This window comes from Homo sapiens, chromosome 7 (genome assembly GCF_000001405.40).
Source record: "Homo sapiens chromosome 7, GRCh38.p14 Primary Assembly".
Lineage (NCBI taxonomy): Eukaryota > Metazoa > Chordata > Mammalia > Primates > Hominidae > Homo > Homo sapiens.
This window is the reverse complement of record NC_000007.14, coordinates 123,823,267-123,842,824: the sequence shown is the minus strand read 5'-3', so window position 1 is coordinate 123,842,824 and position 19,558 is coordinate 123,823,267. Positions and strand designations below refer to the sequence as shown.

The 19,558-nt window shown below is 36.8% G+C and overlaps 1 protein-coding gene across 1 annotated transcript in view; it reads right to left on the bottom strand.

Moving 5' to 3' along the window:
* The window catches only part of HYAL4 (hyaluronidase 4), a 113,774-nt gene that overhangs the window by 34,657 nt on the left and 59,559 nt on the right, over positions 1–19,558 (bottom strand). Inside the window, exon 3 of the mRNA XM_047420093.1 lies at positions 13,701–13,868. The gene's annotated coding sequence lies outside the window, so the exon portion shown is untranslated. The remainder of the gene's footprint in view (positions 1–13,700; positions 13,869–19,558) is intronic.

Here is a 19,558-nt window from a genome sequence, read left to right as displayed (position 1 = left end):
CAGGAGTTGCAATCCTAGTCTCTGCAAAAACAGACTTTAAACCAACAAAGATCAAAAGAGACAAAGAACGCCATTACATAATGGTAAAGGGATCAATTCCACAAGAAGAGCTAACTATCCTAAATATATATGCATCCAATACAGGAGCACCCAGATTCATAAAGCAAGTCCTTAGAGACCTACAAAGAGACTTAGACTCCCACACAATAATAATGGGAGACTTTAACACCACACTGTCAATATTAGACAGATCAACATGACAGAAGGTTAACAAGGATATCCAGGACCTGAACTCAGCTCTGCAACAAGCAGACCTAATAGACATCTACAGAACTCTCCACCCGAAATCAACAGAATATACATTCTTCTCAGCACCACATCGCACTTATTCTAAAATTGACCACATAATTGGAAGTAAAGCACTCCTCAGCAAATGTAAAAGAACAGAAATCACAACAAACTGTCTCTCAGACCACAGTGCAATCAAATTAGAACTCAGGATTAAGAAACTCACTCCAAACCGCACTACTACATGGAAACTGAACAACTTTCTCCTAAATGACTACTGGGTGAATAACAAAATGAAGGCAGGAATAAAGATGTTCTTTTAAACCAATGAGAATAAAGACAACATGTATCAGAATCTCTGGGACACATTTAAAGCAGTGTGTAGAGGGAAATTTATAGCACTAAATGCCCACAACAGAAAGCAGGAAAGATCTAAAATCATCACCCTAACATCACAATTAAAAGAACTAGAGAAGCAAGAGCAAACACATTCAAAAGCTAGCAGAAGGCCAGAAATAACTAAGATCAGAGCAGAACTGAAAGAGATACAGACACACAAAAAAATCCTTCAAAAAAATCAATGAATCCAGGAGCTGGTTTTTTGAAAAGATCAACAAAATCGATAGACTGCTAGCAAGATTAATAAAGAAGAAAAGAGAGAAGAATCACACAGATGCAATAAAAAATGATAAACGGGATATCACCACTGGTCCTACAAAATACAAACTACCATCAGTGAATACCATAAACACCTCTATGCAAATAAACTAAAAAATCTAGAAGAAATGGATAAATTCCTGGACATATACACCCTCCCAAGACTAAACCAGGAAGAAGTTGAATCTCTGAATAGACCAATAACAGGCTCTGAAATTGAGGCAGTAATTAATAGCCTACCAACCAAAAAAAAGTCCAGGACCAGACAGATTCACAGCCGAATTCTACCAAAGGTACTAAGATGAGCTGGTACCATTCCTTCTGAAACTATTCCAAACAATAGAAAAAGAGGGAATCCTCTCTAACTCATTCTATGAGGCCAACATCATCCTGATACCAAAGACTGGCAGAGATACACACACAGAAAAGAGAATTTTAGAAACCAATATCCCTGATGAAAATTGATGCAAAAATCCTCAATAAAATACTGGCAAACCGAATCCAGCAGCACATCAAAAAGCTTATCCATCACGGATCAAGTTGGCTTCATCCCTGGGACGCAAGGCTTGTTCAACATACACAAATCAATAAACATAACCATCACATAAACAGAACCAATGACAAAAACCATATGATTATCTCAATATATGTAGAAAAGGCCTTCGACAAAATTCAACAGCCCTTCATGCTAAAAACTCTCAATAAATTAGGTATTGAGGGAACATATCTCAAAATAATAAGAGCTATTTATGACAAACCCACAGCCAATATCATACTGAATGGGCAAAAGCTGGAAGCATTCCTGTTGAAAACCAGCACAAGACAAGGATGCCCTCTCTCACCACTCCTATTCAACATAGTGTTGGAAGTTCTGGCCAGGACAACCAGGAAAGAGAAAGAAATAAAGGATATTCAATTAGGAAATGAGGAAGTCAAGTTGTCCCTGTTTGTAGATGACATGATTGTATATTTAGAAAACCCCATCGTCTCAGCCCAAAATCTCCTTAAGCTGATAAGCAACTTCAGCAAGGTCTCAGGACACAAAATCAATGTGCAAAAATCACAAGCATTCCTGTACACCATTAACAGACAAACAGAGAGCCAAATCATGAGTGAACTCCCATTCACAATTGCTACAAAGAGAATAAAATACCTAGGAATCCAATTTACAAGGGATGTGAAGGACCTCTTCAAGGAGAACTACAAACCACTGCTCAATGAAATAAAAGAGGACACAAACAAATGGAAGAATATTCCATGCTCATGCATAGGAAGAATCAATACCGTGAAAATGGCCGTACTGCCCAAAGTAATTTATAGATTCAATGCCATCCCCATCAAGCTACCAATGACTTTCTTCAAAGAATTGGAAAAAACTACTTTAAAGTTCATATGGAACCAAAAAAGAGCCCACATTGCCAAGACAATCCTAAGCAAAAAGAACAAAGCTGGAGGTATCACACTACCTGACTTCAAACTATACTACAAGGCTACAGTAACCAAAACAGCATGGTACTGGTACCAAAACAGATATATAGACCAATGGAACAGAACAGAGGCCCTAGAAATAACACCACACATCTATACCCATCTGATCTTTGACAAACCTGACAAAAACAAGCAATGGGGAAAGGATTCCCTATTTAATAAATGGTGCTGGGAAAACTGGCTAGCCATATGTAGAAAGCTGAAACTGGATCCCTTCCTTATACCTTATACAAAAATTAAATCAAGATGGATTAAAGGTTAAATGTTAGACCTAAAGCCATAAAAACCCTAGAAGAAAACCTAGGCAATACCATTCAAGCCATAGGCATGGGCAAAGACTACATGACTAAAACACCAAAAGCAATGGCAACAAAAGCCAAAATAGACAAATGGGATCTAATTAAACTAAAGAGCTTCTGCATGGCAAAATAAACTACCATCAGAGTGAACAGGCAACCTACAGCATGGCAGAAAATTTTTGCAATCTATCCATCTGACAAAGGGCTAAGATCCAGAATCTACAAAGAACTCAAACAGATTTACAAGAAAAAAAAACAAACAATCCCATTAAAAAGTGGGCAAAGGATATGAACAGACACTTCACAAAAGAAGATATCTATGCAGCCATCAGACACATGAAAAAGTTCTCATCATCACTGGTCATCAGAGAAATGCAAATCACAACTACAATGAGATACCATCTCACACCAGTTAGAATGGCAATCATTAAAAAGTCAGGAAACAACAGATGCTGGAGAGGATGTGGACAAATAGGAATGCTTTTACACTGTTGGTGGAAGTGTAAATTAGTTCAACCATTGTGGAAGACAGTGTGGCGATTCCTCAAGGATCTAGAACCAGAATTACCATTTGACCCAGCAATCCCATTACTGGGTATATACCCAAAGGATTATAAATCATGCTATTATAAAGACACATGCATACATGTTTATTGCGGCACTATTCACAATAGCAAAGACTTGGAACTAACCCAAATGTCCAGCAATGATAGACTGGATAAAGAAAATGTGGCACATATACACCATGGAATACTATGCAGCCATAAAAAAGGATGAGTTCATGTCCTTTGCAGGGACATGGATGAAGCCAGAAACCATCAATCTCAGCAAACTATCACAGGGATGGAAAACCAAACACCACATGTTCTCACTCATAGGTGGGAATTGAACAATGAGATCATTTGGACAAAGAGTGGGGAGCATCACACACCGTGGCCTGTCAGAGGTGGGAGAGCTGGGGGAGGGATAGCATTAGGAGAAATACCTAATGTAAATGATAAGTTGATGGGTGTGGCAAACCAACATGGCACATGTATACCTATATACCAAACCTGCACGTTGTGCACAGGTACCCAGAACTTAAAGTATAATAATAATTTAAAAAAAAAACTATTGAAACTTCAAGAAATAATGGATGCACTTATGGAAATGCAAAATGCTCTGGAAAGTCTCAGCAATAGAATCAAACAAGCAGAAGAAATAACTTCACAGCTCTAAGACAAGGTTTTCAAATTAACCCAATTCAACAAAGACAAAGAAAAAATGAACAAAGTCTCCAAGAAGTTTGAGACTATGTTAAACGACCAAACCTAAAAATAATCAGTATTCCTGAGGACAAAGAGAAATCTAAAAGTTTAAAAAAACATATTCGGGGGAATAATTGAGGAAAACTTCCCCAGCCTTGCTAGAGACCTGAACATCCAAATATAACAAGCTCAAGGAACAACCAGGAAATTCATCATAAAAAGACTATCACGTAGGCACATTGTCATCAGGTTATCTAAAGTTACGATGAAGGAAAGAATCTTTTTTTTTTCTGTTTATGACATCATTTATTATAAAAAGCCAATGCAAAAGCCATACAAAAACTATACAAAACACATTTAAAATGGGCAGTATAATGGTAGAACCATTTTGTAATGTTGATATTATTTGTTGGGGTTGTCCGTCATATTAGATCTTGACATAAGCCCATACGTAGCATGATTAATTATGTAATAGTAGTTTTTCATTGCAATATTTCAGCAGGCATGACATGGCCTGTTTCATGCCTGAATCTATTTAAATATTAGCAATTCCACAGAGTTTCTTTGTATATAATTCTGTTGATTTCCAAAAAAAAAAAAAAAAAGGCTCTGTAAAGAATTCTATGGTAGAGGTAAACAACAGAGACTACAGTCTGGAGTCAGGATTCATGCTGGAGAGGATGTGGAGAAATAGGAATGCTTTTACACTGTTGGCGGGACTGTAAACTAGTTCAACCATTGTGGAAGTCAGTGTGGCAATTCCTCAGGGATCTAGAACTAGAAATACCATTTGACCCAGCAATCCCATTACTGGGTGTATACCCAAAGGATTATAAATCATGCTGCTATAAAGACACATGCACATGTATGTTTATTGCGGCACTATTCACAATAGCAATGACTTGGAACCAAGCCAAATGTCCAACAACGATAGACTGGATTAAGAAAATGTGACACATATACACCATAGAATACTATGCAGCCATAAAAAATGATGAGTTCATGTCCTTTGTAGGGACATGGATGAAGCTGGAAACCATCATTCTCAGCAAACTATCGCAAGGACAAAAAACCAAACACCGTGCGTTCTCACTCATAGGTGGGAATTGAACAATGAGAACACAGGAAGGGGAACATCACACACCGGGGCCTGTTGTGGGGTGGGGGGAGGGGGGAGGGATAGCATTAGAAGATATACCTAATGTTAAATGACGAGTTAATGGGTGCAGCACACCAACATGGCGCATGTATACATATGTAACTAATTTGCACGTTGTGCACATGTACCCTAAAACTTAAAGTATAATTTAAAAAAAAAATGGCAATGCCAGACACGTTAATATTCTGTTCAGTGTTAATAGAATTTTAATGCTGCATGTTGGAGTTTCAGATTAATTGCTCCCTGAGAGACAGATGGTGTAGAATGAGGTGGTGAAATGCTCAGACTAAAATGGCATTTGCTAGTTGACAAAAATCTACTTAAACACTTCCTTTTTGATGCAGGAAAGAATCTTAAGAGCTGTGAGACAAAAGCATCAGGTAACCTGTAAAGGAAAACCTACAGATTAACAGCAGATTTCCCAGCAGAAACCTTACAAGTTATAAGGGATTGGGGTCCTATCTTCAGCCCTCTTAAACAAAACAATTTTAAGTCAAGAGTTTTGTATCCAGCAAAACTAATCTTCACAAATGAAGGAAAGATAGTCTTTTTCAGACAAACAAATGCTGAGAGAATTCACCACTACCAAGGCAGAACTACAAGAACTGTTAAAAGGAGCCCAAATCTTTTTTTTCTTTCTTTTTTTTTTGTTTCTGTTTTTGTTTTTGAGATGTAGTCTCGCTTTGTTGCCCAGGCTGTAGTGCAACCTTGGCTCACTGCAGCCTTGGCCTCCAGGATTCAAGCGATTCTCCTGTCTCAGTCCCCTGAGTAACTGGGATTACAGGCACCCACCACTGCGCCCAGCTAATTTTTGCTTATTAGTAGAGACAGGGTTTTGCCACGTCAGCCAGGCTGGTTTCAGACTGCTGACCTCAAGTGATCCACCTGCCTTGGCCTCCCAGGGTGCTGGGATTACAGGCATGAGCCACCACCTGGCCAAGAGCTCCAAATCTTGAAACAAATCCTGGAAACATATCAAAACAGAACCTCTTTAAAGCATAAATCTCACAGGACCTATAAAACAAAAAGACATTGAAAAAAAAAAGATATACAGGCAACAAATAACACAATGTATGGACTAGTACCTTACATCTCTGTACTAACGTTGAATGTAAATGGCCTAAATGCTCCACTTAAAAGATATAGAATTGCAGAATGGATAAGATTTTACCAACCAACTATCAATGCTGCCTTCAGGACTCACCTAACACATAAGGACTCATATAAACTTAAGGTAGAGGGGTGGAAAAAGATATTCCATGCAAATGGACACTAAAAGTGAGCAGGAGTAGCTATCCTTATATCAGACAAAACAAACTTTAAAGCAACAGCAGTTAAAAAAGACAAAGAAGGACATGATGTAGTAATAAAAGGCCTTCTACAACAGGAAAATATCACAATCCTGAATATATATGCACCTAACACTGGAGCTCCCAAATTTATAAAACAATTACTACTAGACCTAAGAAATTAGATAGACAGCAACACAATAATAATAGTGGGGGACTTCAATACTACACTGACAGCACTAGACAGGTCATCAAGAAGAAAGTCAACAAAGAAACAGTGGATATAAACTATACCTTGGAACAAATGGACTTAAAAGATATTTACTGAATATTCTACCCAACAACCACAGAATATATTGTCTATTTATCAGCACATGGAATGTTCTCCAATATAGACCATATGATAGGCCATGAAACAAGTCTCAATAAATTTAAGAAAATTGAAATCATATCAAGTAGTGTCTCAGAGCACAGTGGAATAAAACTGGAAATCAACTCCAAAAAGGAAGCTTTAAAACCATGCAAATACATGGAAATTAAACCTGCTCCTGAATGATCATTGGGTCAACAGTGAAATAAAGAAGGAAATTTAAAAAATTTTTGAACCGAATGGCAATAGTGACACAACCTATTAAAACCTCTGGGATACAGCAAAGGCAGTGCTAAGAGGAAAGTTCGTAGCCCTAAATGTCTATATCAAAAAGTCTGAAAAAGCATAAATAGACAATCTAAGGTCACACTGCAAGGAACTAGAGAAATAAGAACAAATCAGACCCACACCCAGTAGAATAAAGGAAATAACCAAGATCAGAGCAGAACTAAATAAAATTGAAACAAAAAAATACAAAAGATAAATGAAATAAAACCTGCTTCTTTGAAAAGATAAGTAAAATTGATAGACCATTAGCAAGATTATCGAGAAAAGAATACAGAAAATCCAAATAAGCTCAATTAGAAACAAAACAGGAGATACTACAACTGACACCACTGAAATATAAAAGATCATTTCAAGGCTACTATGAACACCTTTACATGCATAAACTATAAAACCTAAAGGAGATGGATAAATTCCTGGAAAAATAACCACCCTCCTAGCTTAAATCAGGAAGAATTAGATACCCTGAACAGACCAATAACAAACAGAGAGATTGAAATGGTAACAAAAAAAAATTACCAATGAAAAAGTCCAGGACCAGACAGATTCACAGCTGAATTCTACAAGATAGTCAAAGAAGTGGTACCAAACTTATTGACACTATTCCACAAGATAGAGAAAGAGAGATTCCTCCCTAAATCATTCTATGAAGCCAGTATCACCCTAATCCCAAAACCATGAAAGGACATAACCAAAAAAAAACAAACTACAGACCAATATTACTGATGAGCATAGATACAAAAATCCTTAACAAAATACTAGTTAACTGAACCCAACAACATACCAAAAAGACAATCCACCATGATCAAGTGGGTTTCATAGCAGGGATGCAGGGATGGTTTAACATATGCAAGTCAATAAATGTGATACACCACACAAACAGAATTAAAAACAAAAATCACATGATCATCTCAATAGATGCAGAAAAAGCATTTGACAAAATCCATTGTCCCTTTATGATTAAAACTCTCAGCAAAATCAGCATATAAGGGACATACCTCAATGCAATAAAAGCTATCTATGACAAACCCACAGCCAACATAATACTGAATGGGGAAAAGCTGAAAGCATTCCCTCTGAGAACTGGAACAAGACAAGGATGCCCACTCTCACCATTTCTCTTCAACATAGTACTGGAAGTCTTAGCCAGAGCAATCAGACAAGAGAAAGAAATAACATCCAAATCGGTAAAGAGGAAGTCAATGTCACTGTTTTCTGATGATATGACTGCATGCCTAGAAAACCCTAAAGAATCCTCCGAAAAGCTCCTAGAGCTGTTAAAAGAATTCAGCAAAGTTTCTGGATACAAAATTAATGTACACAAATCAGTAGCTCTTCTATAAACCAACAGCAACCAAGCTGAGAATCCAATCAAGAACTCAACCCCTTTTACAATAACCGCAAAAAAAACTAAAATACTTAGAAATATATCTAACTAAGGAGGTGAAAGACCTCTACAAGGAAAATTACAAAACACTGCTGAAAGAAATCATAGATGCCACAAACAAAAAGAAACACATCCCATGCTCATGGATGGGTATAATCAATACTGTGAAAATGACCACACTGCCAAAAGCAATCTACAAATTCAATGCAATCCCTATCAAAATACCACCATGATTCTTCATAGAACTAGAAAAAACAATCCTAAAATTCCTACGGAACCAAAAAAGAGCCCACACAGCCAAAGCAAGACTAAGCAAAAAGAACAAACCTGGAGCATCACACTACCTGATTTCAAACTATACTATAAGACCATCGTCACCAAAACAGCATAATACTGATATAAAAATAGGCACATAGACCAATCAAACAGAATAGAGAACTCAGAAATAAACCCAAATACTTACAGTCAGCTGATCTTCAACAAAGCAAACAAAAACATGAAGTGGGGAAAGGACACCCTTTTCAACAAATGATGCTGGGATAATTGGCAAGTCACAAGTAGGAAAATAAAACTGTACCCTCATCCCTCACATTATACAAAAATCAACTCAAGATGAAGAATCAAGAACTTAAATCTAAGATGTGAAACTATAAAAATTCCAGAAGATAACATTGGAAAAATCCTCCTAGACATTGACTTAGGCAAGGATTTCATGACCAAGAACTCAAAAGCAAATGCATGAAAAAAACAAAGATAAATAGGTGGAACTTAATTAAACTAAAGAGATTTTGCATGGCAAAAGGAACAGTCAGCAGAGTAAACAGACAACCCACAGAGTGGGAGAAAATCTTAAAAATCTATACATCAGACAAAGGACTAATATCCAGAATCTACAACAAACTCAAAAAAATTAGCAAGAAAAAAACAAACAATCTCATCAAAAAGTGGGCTAGGACATGAATAGAAAACTATCAAAAGAAGATATACACGGGCCATCAAACATATGAAAAAATGTTCAATATCACTAATGATGAGGGAAATGCAAATCAAAACCACTATGTGATACCACCTTACTCCTGCAAGAATGGCCGTCATCAAAAAATCAAAAAATAATAGATGTCCATGTGGGTGTAGTGAACGGGAACACTTCCACACTGCTGGTGGGAATGTAACCTAGTACAATCACTATGGAAAGCAGTGTGGAGATTCCTTAAAGAATAAAAGTAGAACTACCATTTGTTCCAGCAACCCCAACACTGGGGATCTACCCAGAGGAAAAGAAGTCATTGCACATGCATGTTTAGAGGAGCACAATTCACAATTGCAAATATGTGGAACCAACCCAAAAGCCCATCAATCAACAAGTGGATAAAGAAATTGTGGTATTTATATATGAAGGAATATTCAGCCTTAAAAAGGAATGAACTAATGGCATTCGCAACAACCTGGATGGGATTAGAGACTATTATTCTAAGTGAAATAACTCAGGAATGGAAAGCCAAACATGTATGTTGTCACTCATAAGTGGGAACTGAGCTATGAGTATGCAAAGGTATAAGAATGACACAAAAGGCTGGGCGCGGTGGCTCACGCCTGGGGGGCCGAAGCAAGCAGATCATGAGGTCTGGAGATCGAGACCATCCTGGCTAACACAGTGAAACCCCGTCTCTACTAAAAATACAAAAAAAATTAGCCAGGCATGGTGGTGGGCACCTGTAGTCCCAGTTATTCGGGAGGCTGAGGCAGAAGAATGATGTGAACCCGGGAGGTGGAGCTTGCTGTGAACCGAGATGGCACCGCTGCACTCCAGCCTGAGCGACAGAGCGAGACTCTGTCTCAAAAAAAAAAAAAAAAAAAAAAAAAAAAAAAAAAAAAAGTATGACACAATAGACTTTGGGGACTCAGGGGGAAAGGGTGAAAAGGGGATCAGGGATAAAAGACTACAAATCGGGTTCAGTGATTACTGCTCGGGTGATGGCAGCACCAAAATCTCACAAATCACCACTAAAGAACTTAACTCATGTAACCAAATACCACCTGTTCCCCCAAAACCTATGGAAATAAAAAAAATTTTAAGAAAGAAAAACAGAGTTACTTTAGATATATGAGCTGTTCCTTCCATTAGAAAGAGAAATTCTAATATTCAAAAAATGGAAATGGGTGGAGGACAAATTATCACATCAAGGAAAATATTTATTTCAACACAGCAGAACCAGTTCCACTATTTAACTTACCAGAATGCATAGAATGGCAAGCAGTAGAGACATTTGACCCCAAGACATTTAAGTAAAGAGAAAGCTCTTCCTACACAGGTTCAGAGTTTATATGTTGAACCAAATATAAAAGCAGACCTAAAATGAATATATCTGGATCTTTCCAGTGGGCATGGAAGGGAAAAAAAAAGGAAAGGCTGCTCATCCCAGGAAAGAATTACACTCCTTTTCCATGATAATTTTCTACCTATTTTGATAATTATGAGGGGTTCTACTAACCTGCCTGGTTTCTACTCATCTGCTACAGATGCACTCTCACTTGTCAATATGTCCCAACCACTTTCAGAATCTACAGTCCATCCTTTCATTCAATGAAATAATCCTGTTGAGTAAATATGCCCAACAAACGCATGGGGAGGGGGGCAGAAATCCCTATGACAGATTTTTCAATTACTCTGGTCCTTTGTAAATATAAACAGATGACCAAAGATCACAAAACATTTGATACAGACCAAAAGTATAAAGGAAATTAACAAAGGGAACATTCTATTCTCAAAGGAAATGGAATAGAATAAAATGTATAACAATAGAAACAATTTTCAATAATCTAATTAACAGCCTCAGAGAGATTTAAGAAGTTGTTGAACCAAACCAAAATAAGAGTACTATAACAAAGGAGCAATCATATTACACACAAAAAAGAGTTCTCCGAAATTAAAACAAATATCAAAATATGGTGGTGTCTCAGTTCATTTAGCATTGCTATAGTCAAATACCTGAGGCTGGGTAGTTTATAAAGAAAAGATGCAGGCTGGGAAGTTCAAGATCATGGCCCTGGCTTCTGGTGAGGGCTTTCATGCTGCATCACAGCATGGCAGAGAAGGTCAAAGGGGAAGCAGATCAAGGGGTAGCCTGGCTTTATAACAACCCATAGACAAGGGAACTCACTCATTCCCATGAGAACTAATCCAGTCTTGCCAGAGCAAGAACTCAGTACCACAACAATGCCACTAAGCCCTTTGTGAGGGATCCATTTCCATGATCCAAACACCTCCCATTAGGTCTCACCTCCTAATACCACCACATTTGGGATCAAATTTCAATGTGAGTTTTGGTGGGGACTAATAAACCATTGCCAAACCATTGAAAGTGCAGAACAAACTAGTATTCTAGAAAAAGAGGTTAGCAAATCCATAATATGAGGCAAAAAAGACAAAGACTTAGAAATGTGAGAGGAAAGCAACACAGGGTTCAGATGTAGAAAAGCCAAGATCTATCTAATAGTAATTTTATAACTGAACAGTGAAAATTAGCTAACTATTTGAAAAAAAAATTGAAAGCAAATTATCTTGAGACAAAGATGAGAGTCTAAATTAGAAGATAAAGTCAAAAGACTTTGTAAAGAATGTCTCCAATATAAAAATAGCCATGACATGAATCTACTAAAGACCAGAAAGACTGATTATAACATACTGCTTGTGAAATGAATACATAAATTCCTTCTGATTCAGAAAATTGTGGGTTGTATGGAATAGTAAGAGACTGGGAAAAACAGGTGTCCCATGAAAAAGTTTATGTCCAGATAAAGAGTGCTGTGTTGTTGTTGTTTTCTAACAATAATGCGAGGTAAGAAACAATACTGCCCTAAAGAGTAGACAAAAGTGTCATTTTTCAGGTTATTCAGGACAGAAATAAGCCCTCTTTGGGTTTCTAACAGATATTACCTCTCATCTTAGAAGATAGGTTTTATTTGCTAAAGTGATTTGTGGTATTTATAAGATATTTTGCTTACAGGTGTACCTGTTACTAATTTCTCTTGGAAAATTATCATAAGCATAGGAAGAGTTTAAATTTTGATTTTTTATTTTAGAAAAAAATGTTCATCTCAGCATAAGACATAATTGATGATACTCATTTTTATGAGACAGTTGACAAAGTATTACAGTCTGGAAGTCCAAAATTATTCAAGTTAAAATAAACTACGACAAAACCTGAATGCTTTTCATGATCTGTTTTTAACTTGAGAAAATGGTCACTTGTAATATTTAGGGATCCCCAATTACTGGAGTGCAAACAGCGATTTGCTTCTGCATTTGCTATTCCCTATTCCAAGAATGCATTTCCTCGGATCTATTTGTGACCTGCTCCTGCCTTCAAGACATCTCATCAGAGAGGCTTTGACTCTCTTACATTTCCAGTGTTCTCTCACACTCCCTAATCATTTTACCCCTCATTGTTATTCTCCAGAGCACTTGCAGCCACCAAATATATGTGTGCTTGTTAGTTTATTGGGTCTTTAAAAAAATTTTTTTGAGACGGGGTCTCACTTTGTCACTCAGACTGCAGTGCAGTCACACAATCATAGCTTACCACAGCTTTGAACTCCTGGGCTCAATGATCCTCCCACCTCAGGCTGAAGTTGCTGGGACTACAGTCCACACCACCACACTCAGCTATTTTTTACATTTTTTGTAGAGATGGGATCTTGCTATGTTGTCCAGGCTTGTTTATTGCTTATTTATCATTGTTCATTTTCCCACAAGTATTTAAGCTCCCTGAGAGCAGGTATATTCACTTTCTTTTCCCTATTGCCTTGCATGAGGTAAACACCCAGTAAATAATTGCTGTATCAATGAGTGGCATCAATGACTAACTTTTTTATTTTTATTTTTTACTTTAAAGTCAATACATATTTTGGGAGAGGCTTGAGGTTGAAAAAAATCAACACTTGCTACTGTTTGGTATTTCAAGAAAAAATTGGCATTGTAGTAAGGGCTAAAATTTTTTTTAGCAGAATCACAGAAGAAGCCATAATGAGAAAAACTAATAAATTGAAGTTAATAGTAGGAGCCTTATTCATCACTCTTAGGAGATCTGAAGAGTGATCGTGACAAGACGGTCCATGCCAGCCGTAATAGCAGTGACACACAAATCCATTCTTCATGTCTGTTATTGTCTTCTGTTTATTATTTTCAGAAATGATGAATCTGAAACTCTTGTTTAGAACATATTTCTTACCACTGCTTTCAGGCATATGCAGATAGAAGGAGGACTCAGGTGTTTTTCGAATACTCTTCCATGATTGTTACATAGACTCTGACTGCAGAGCTTGGCTGCAGATGTCACATTCACAGCATAATGGCCCAAAGGCCCTCGGATAGATTGCTGCACAGATAAGCAGTTCTCCTGTAGGAAAAACAGAAATCTACTTAAAGCACTTTCAAAGTGTGATTCCATAATCCAGGCAGTATTAATGCCTAAAGTTTTGTATTTGGTAAGGCTGAGGAGGAGGAGCATTTGTGTGGATTAGCTATTTAAAGGAGGGACTAAGCCTTTATAGGGTCATGTGAGTAATGAGCCATGCCTTTAATTGGGAAGACTATGACCCAACCAAATTCGTATCATTTCCAGGTGAAGATGATCTCACAGTGTCCCAGTAAAGACTGTTCCTTAATGTAAAGATATATTTGTAGTGATACTTTTAAAAGATATCATTAATATGGGGATGGTTTGTTAAAATTGAACTTTAATTGTGAAACATTTTCAATGTTGATACTCAATATATTTTAACATTAGGTCAGATTTTTCAAAAACTACCAAGTCATCCTATTCTTCTCCCTACCTCTGAAGAGATAACAATTCTCCTAAAGTTGATGAGTTCTCATCCAAGTTTTTAGAGGTGTGTGTGTGTGTGTGTGTGTGTGTGTGTGTGTGTAATTATGAACAAGAGGGAGTATTATTTTGTGCTTTTTAAACATTTACGTATATATAATCATGTAGGATATTTCTGCAATTTGCTTTTTGAACTTAACATTTTCCATTTTTTATGTTGATACATGTAGCATTTTTCCACTTTAATTGCTGGTCAGTATTTCATAATATAAATATAACATACTTTACTTGTCCATCAGTCAGTTTTTAGGAGGTAGAATATAAAAGATCATTATTTACACCAAATGCTAGTGTTACTTGTACATTGTATATAGGGTCCAATGATAGTAGGTAAGAATGTCTTCCCACAAGTCTACCATTGGGTATTTCATTGGTGTGTCCATAGCATTGGGCTTTAACTCTAGGACACATTTCTACAGATTAATGATCACATTGTGCAGCTAGGATGGGCAAACCTAATTGAAATGATATTATCAGCTAATCCAGAAGAGCCTGGCAGGAATCTTGATAAATGTCTGCCTTGATCCATACAGGTAGGACCATGGAAAAATTCTAGTAGATTAATTAATAACATAAATTGAGTTTTCTATTAGCATTTAATTATTTATTTTATCAATATTAAAACTAATTCATAATTAAAAACCAATTAAGCTTAGAACAGTGGGATATTTTCTCAGTAAGAGGAGGCCCCAGAACTGTGACTCCATCTGGTAAAGATTTGGGAGATTCAAATTGAAAGTCATAAGGCAGAATAAAGCTCTTAATTGACAGGTAGTTGAACGAGGCCAGCACTTTGGCAATAGCAAATTCTGAAGATCATGTAAGCAATATTATTTGTTACAGGCACATTCAATCGGAGGCAGTCTCATACTATGTTTAGAAACACATGCTGTTTTTAGTCAGGACAGGACTCCTTGTCTGAGGCATCTGAGGAGGTTTCTAAGAAAGACACAATAAAATAAAACAGGCAAACAATTGAAGCAAAGGAAAGAAGGAAGGGGAAAAGGGCAGTTGGGAAGGAAAAAGAGGAAGGACGAAAAAGCAACCAAGAAAGACAAAGGTCGGCAGGAGTCAAATGAAGACAACACAGAACACTGGCAAATATAATCAACTTCAACTTGGGCATTCCCTGTTCTGTTGCAGCCGCCCTCCTTGAAATACCTTCTTCACTTAGCTTCCAGAACATCACATCCCTGTTTTATCCCCAACCTCACTAGATGTTCCTTCTCAGTCTTCTTTACTGGCTCCTGTTCATCTTTCCTACATTTAACACTGAAGTGCCCCTGGCTTAAATCTTAGACCTCTTCTCTTCTATAGCTGTACTATTTCACTGGATAAGCTCACCCCATCTCATTAGTTTAAATACAACCCCCAAATGTGTACCACCCAGACCTTATCCCTGAATTGATTATATACCCACCTATTTACTTGACATCTCTACCTGGATGTTGTACAAGCATTTCAAACTTAACATACTCCAACATAATCTGACCCTCTTCCCAGACTTCCCCATCTCAGCATAAGCCAACTCCCTCTTTCCAGTGCCTCAGGAGCAAAATCTTGGAGTTATTCATCACTCCTTTTTCCCCTTACAGTTAATCCATCAGCAAGTCCTTTTCAGTCTACCTTTGAAATATATCCAGAATTCAACCCTTGCTACCATTCTGTTTCAGATCACTACTAGCTCTCGCCTGGATGATTGCCTCCCAACTAGTCTCCACAATCTGTTCTAAATACAGTGAGCATACATATATTTCTCTCTATAATTAAGTAAAATAGGAATCAATAATAAAAGAAGTAGACACAAAAATCCTAGTTTTTTACAGATTAAAAATATCCTCCCAAGTAGCAATTTGGTCTAAAAGGAAATTTTTAAAATTACAATTTCAAATTAATTAGAAAAATAAAAGCAACTGGAATACTACATGTTAAAATGTGTTAATACATCCAAAGTAATTTTCAATGTCAATGCCTAGTCATAAGTGCTTTTGTTTACCGGGCAATCCAATTATCAAACCAGAAACAAGGCATTTTGGCATTGGCTTTCACCTGGACTCCCATTCAGCTATACAGCACTGTGTACTGGTAGCTGATGGGGTACTGAGTGGCTTGCTTTCCATTTACGCTTTTTTCCATGCTTCCTGTTCCCCCAACTCTCTGCATCTTCTCAGTCATTTTTCCACTCTTAGAAGCTCCACCTTAGTTGCTACCTGCTGCATTGAATCAGTGCATTTCCTATCTCTATCTCATTATCAGAAGCTGGTCACCAATTTCCCAGAACCCAGCAAGTGACATTCTACCCATTATGGCAAACTTTCTTGACATTCTGTGTATCTGGAGCATTAGCTAAATATATAAAATTAGCTTCTAATTTTAAATCTTTATCCAAAGAAATGTGCACCTTTTTGTGGAAGTTTATCTTCTACTCTGTCTTTGGATCTGGAAAAAATGTCCTAACATTTTAAAGCATGCTAATACTAGATGCAAAAGTAACACTTTTTATTGCAATAGTTTTGATTATTTAACATAGAGGAATAAAATAATAAATTTAACAAGCATTCAAGAAATTAGAAAAATAATTTTTTAGAAAGCAATCTCATGAAAAGAAATAATAAAGTTAAAAGTATAAATTTATGAATTAGAAAATTGAATTGATAAAGAATAGGTCTTCAAAAAAAGAAAACCATCAAACATTTATATCTGACAAGCCTAACTAATCAAAAAAGGAAGAGACATGATTGATTGATTGACTAAGTGGTTCAACTCAAGCTCCAACTCATTGATAATGCATAGCTTGAAGCATCTACCCATTGTTTCACCCTTTGTGACATGGTTGATTCTTGGGGCATAGTCAGCCCTTATCATAAAACTATTAGGTGTGACTATATCCACCCTAAACAAAGATATCCCCAGATTACCACCCAGAAGCCAAGGACAAAGGCCAGATCTCTCTTTGGGAAAAGCCAGATTCTTTATAACCCATTGTCTCTCCATCTCACTACCTCCTCTTCTATTTTACTATGAAAGTTTTGATTATATCAACCTTAATTATTGCTTCTAGAGTTGGATTTGTCAGCCTCTTGGATGTGATTACATGGCTATTTCAGCTGCTCTAAGGAAAGATGATCTGTATTTAAAGATTTACATCAGGAATCTAAAAGAGAATTTTGTCTATGTGACAGTTTGGATTTAATCAGACCATCCCAAATACATGCTTCAATTAGGGGAAACCTGTTACACCATTTATATGTAACGTGGTTAAAAAAAAGACAGGAACTTTACATATAATTTATAAAAATCTAAATACATTTTATATATATAGATTTATCATAGATATATATATAGAGAGAGAGAGAGAAAGAGAGATTTCACCTGAAACCCAAAGCTGAAGACAGTGGGGTTGACAACTAAGGAGTTAGAGACATTTACCCATCTCCAGCATATATAAATGGCTAGAAATTATCAGGGCAGAAGGAATGTTCTGTGAAAGGAATTTGAAGTAGAGAGCACTGTCCTAGAACCACACGGGAACTACTGGGAGCTTGGAGGCTGACATGTTTATTTATTCACTCTGCAAATATTTATTCAGCACACATTATTATGTGCAAAGCTCTGCTACAGGTTCTTGGAATAAAGACACTGAGGAGAGATGACAGCAGTGGGAGTGGCCTGCCTTCATGTAATTTAACAGAACAAGGGTACAGGAGTATTTTCATGATCCAAGTGGATTTTACACAGGTAGCCAGGCATGCATCTTCCTGAAAAGTCCAAGGGCAAAGGGAATGTAGGAGGTACTTCTGGGGAAGAAGTAAAGGGGAAGTTTCAAGGTGGTAGCTAAAGCCTGCATTGTTCAAAGCAGAGAATGGTGTCATGTGCGGGGGTGAAGGAGGTGGTGGTGAGAGTTGTGGGGAGAAGGGGGTTTCCTGTAACCAAATTGCAGCAGCGCTTCATGTAAGAAAAAGTCAGCCACTAAATGGCAGCCGTATCAAAAGGCTTTCAGCAGGAAAGATAATTACTAATGTCATTAAACTTAAAAAAATTATATTGCCACCTTTTCTCATCCTCATCCCCATCTTCTAAACCCATCTTTGAATTAGCTGAACAAAAGAACTCACCATACCCCTCTTCTCCACACCTCAGATCCAAGCCTGGTGTGTGGGGAAGAGAGGTAAGAAGTAATAATCAACACTTACATGGCACTTGCCATCTGCCATGTACAGTTTTAAGTGCTTTATATATATCAATAGTGTAATTCTCATAAAAGTCCTATAGGAGAGATACTATTATTTCTTTCATTGTATAGATAAAGAAATTGAAAAGTCAATTACTTGATCAAGGTCACACAGCTAGTAGGTGACAAAAAGTGAGCATTGAAACTCAAGCAGTCTCATCACAGGACTCCTGTTCTTAACAATGCTGACATCCTAACTTGTGTCACACTGAATGAAAAGAGATTGCTATTTTTATATTTTATAAGACTAGACATTTTAATTCCTGAAACTGAGACTGTTTGTTAATGCCTGGAAGTGAGGAAGAGCTGTGGTCTCAGAATTTTCACTTAAGCAGTGGGATGGATGACCATACTCAAAGGCAGCTTTAGAAAAGTAGTAGTTATTTTGTGAAAATTAATAGAGTTATTTTGTATGTACTATCTAGGTAACTCGGGATAACCTAGAAGAAATGAATAAATTCATATATATATAAATATATGTGTGTGTGTGTGTGTATATATATATATATAAAATATATATGTGTATATATATAAATATATATGTGTGTGTATATATAACTTCTAGAACTAAAAATGAAAAAACAAATAGAATATCTGAATAGACCAATAACGAACATGGAGACTGAATCATTAATCCAAAAATTCCCAACAAAGAAGAGCCCTGGACCTGAAAACTTCACCAGTGAATTGTGCCAAACATTAAAACAATAATGCTAATCTCTCTCTAACTCTTCAAAAATATTGAAGCAAAGGAAACACTTTCAAACTCACTTTATGATGCCAGCATTACCCTGATACCAAAGCAAGGCAAAGATGCTGTAAGAAAAGAAAATTATCAGCCAATATCCCTGATGAAACTGGATGCAAAAATCCTCAACAAAATAATAGCAACCCAAATTCAATAGCACATTAAAAGTATCATACACCATGATCAAGTAGGATTTATTCCTGGGATGCAAGGATGATTCAACAC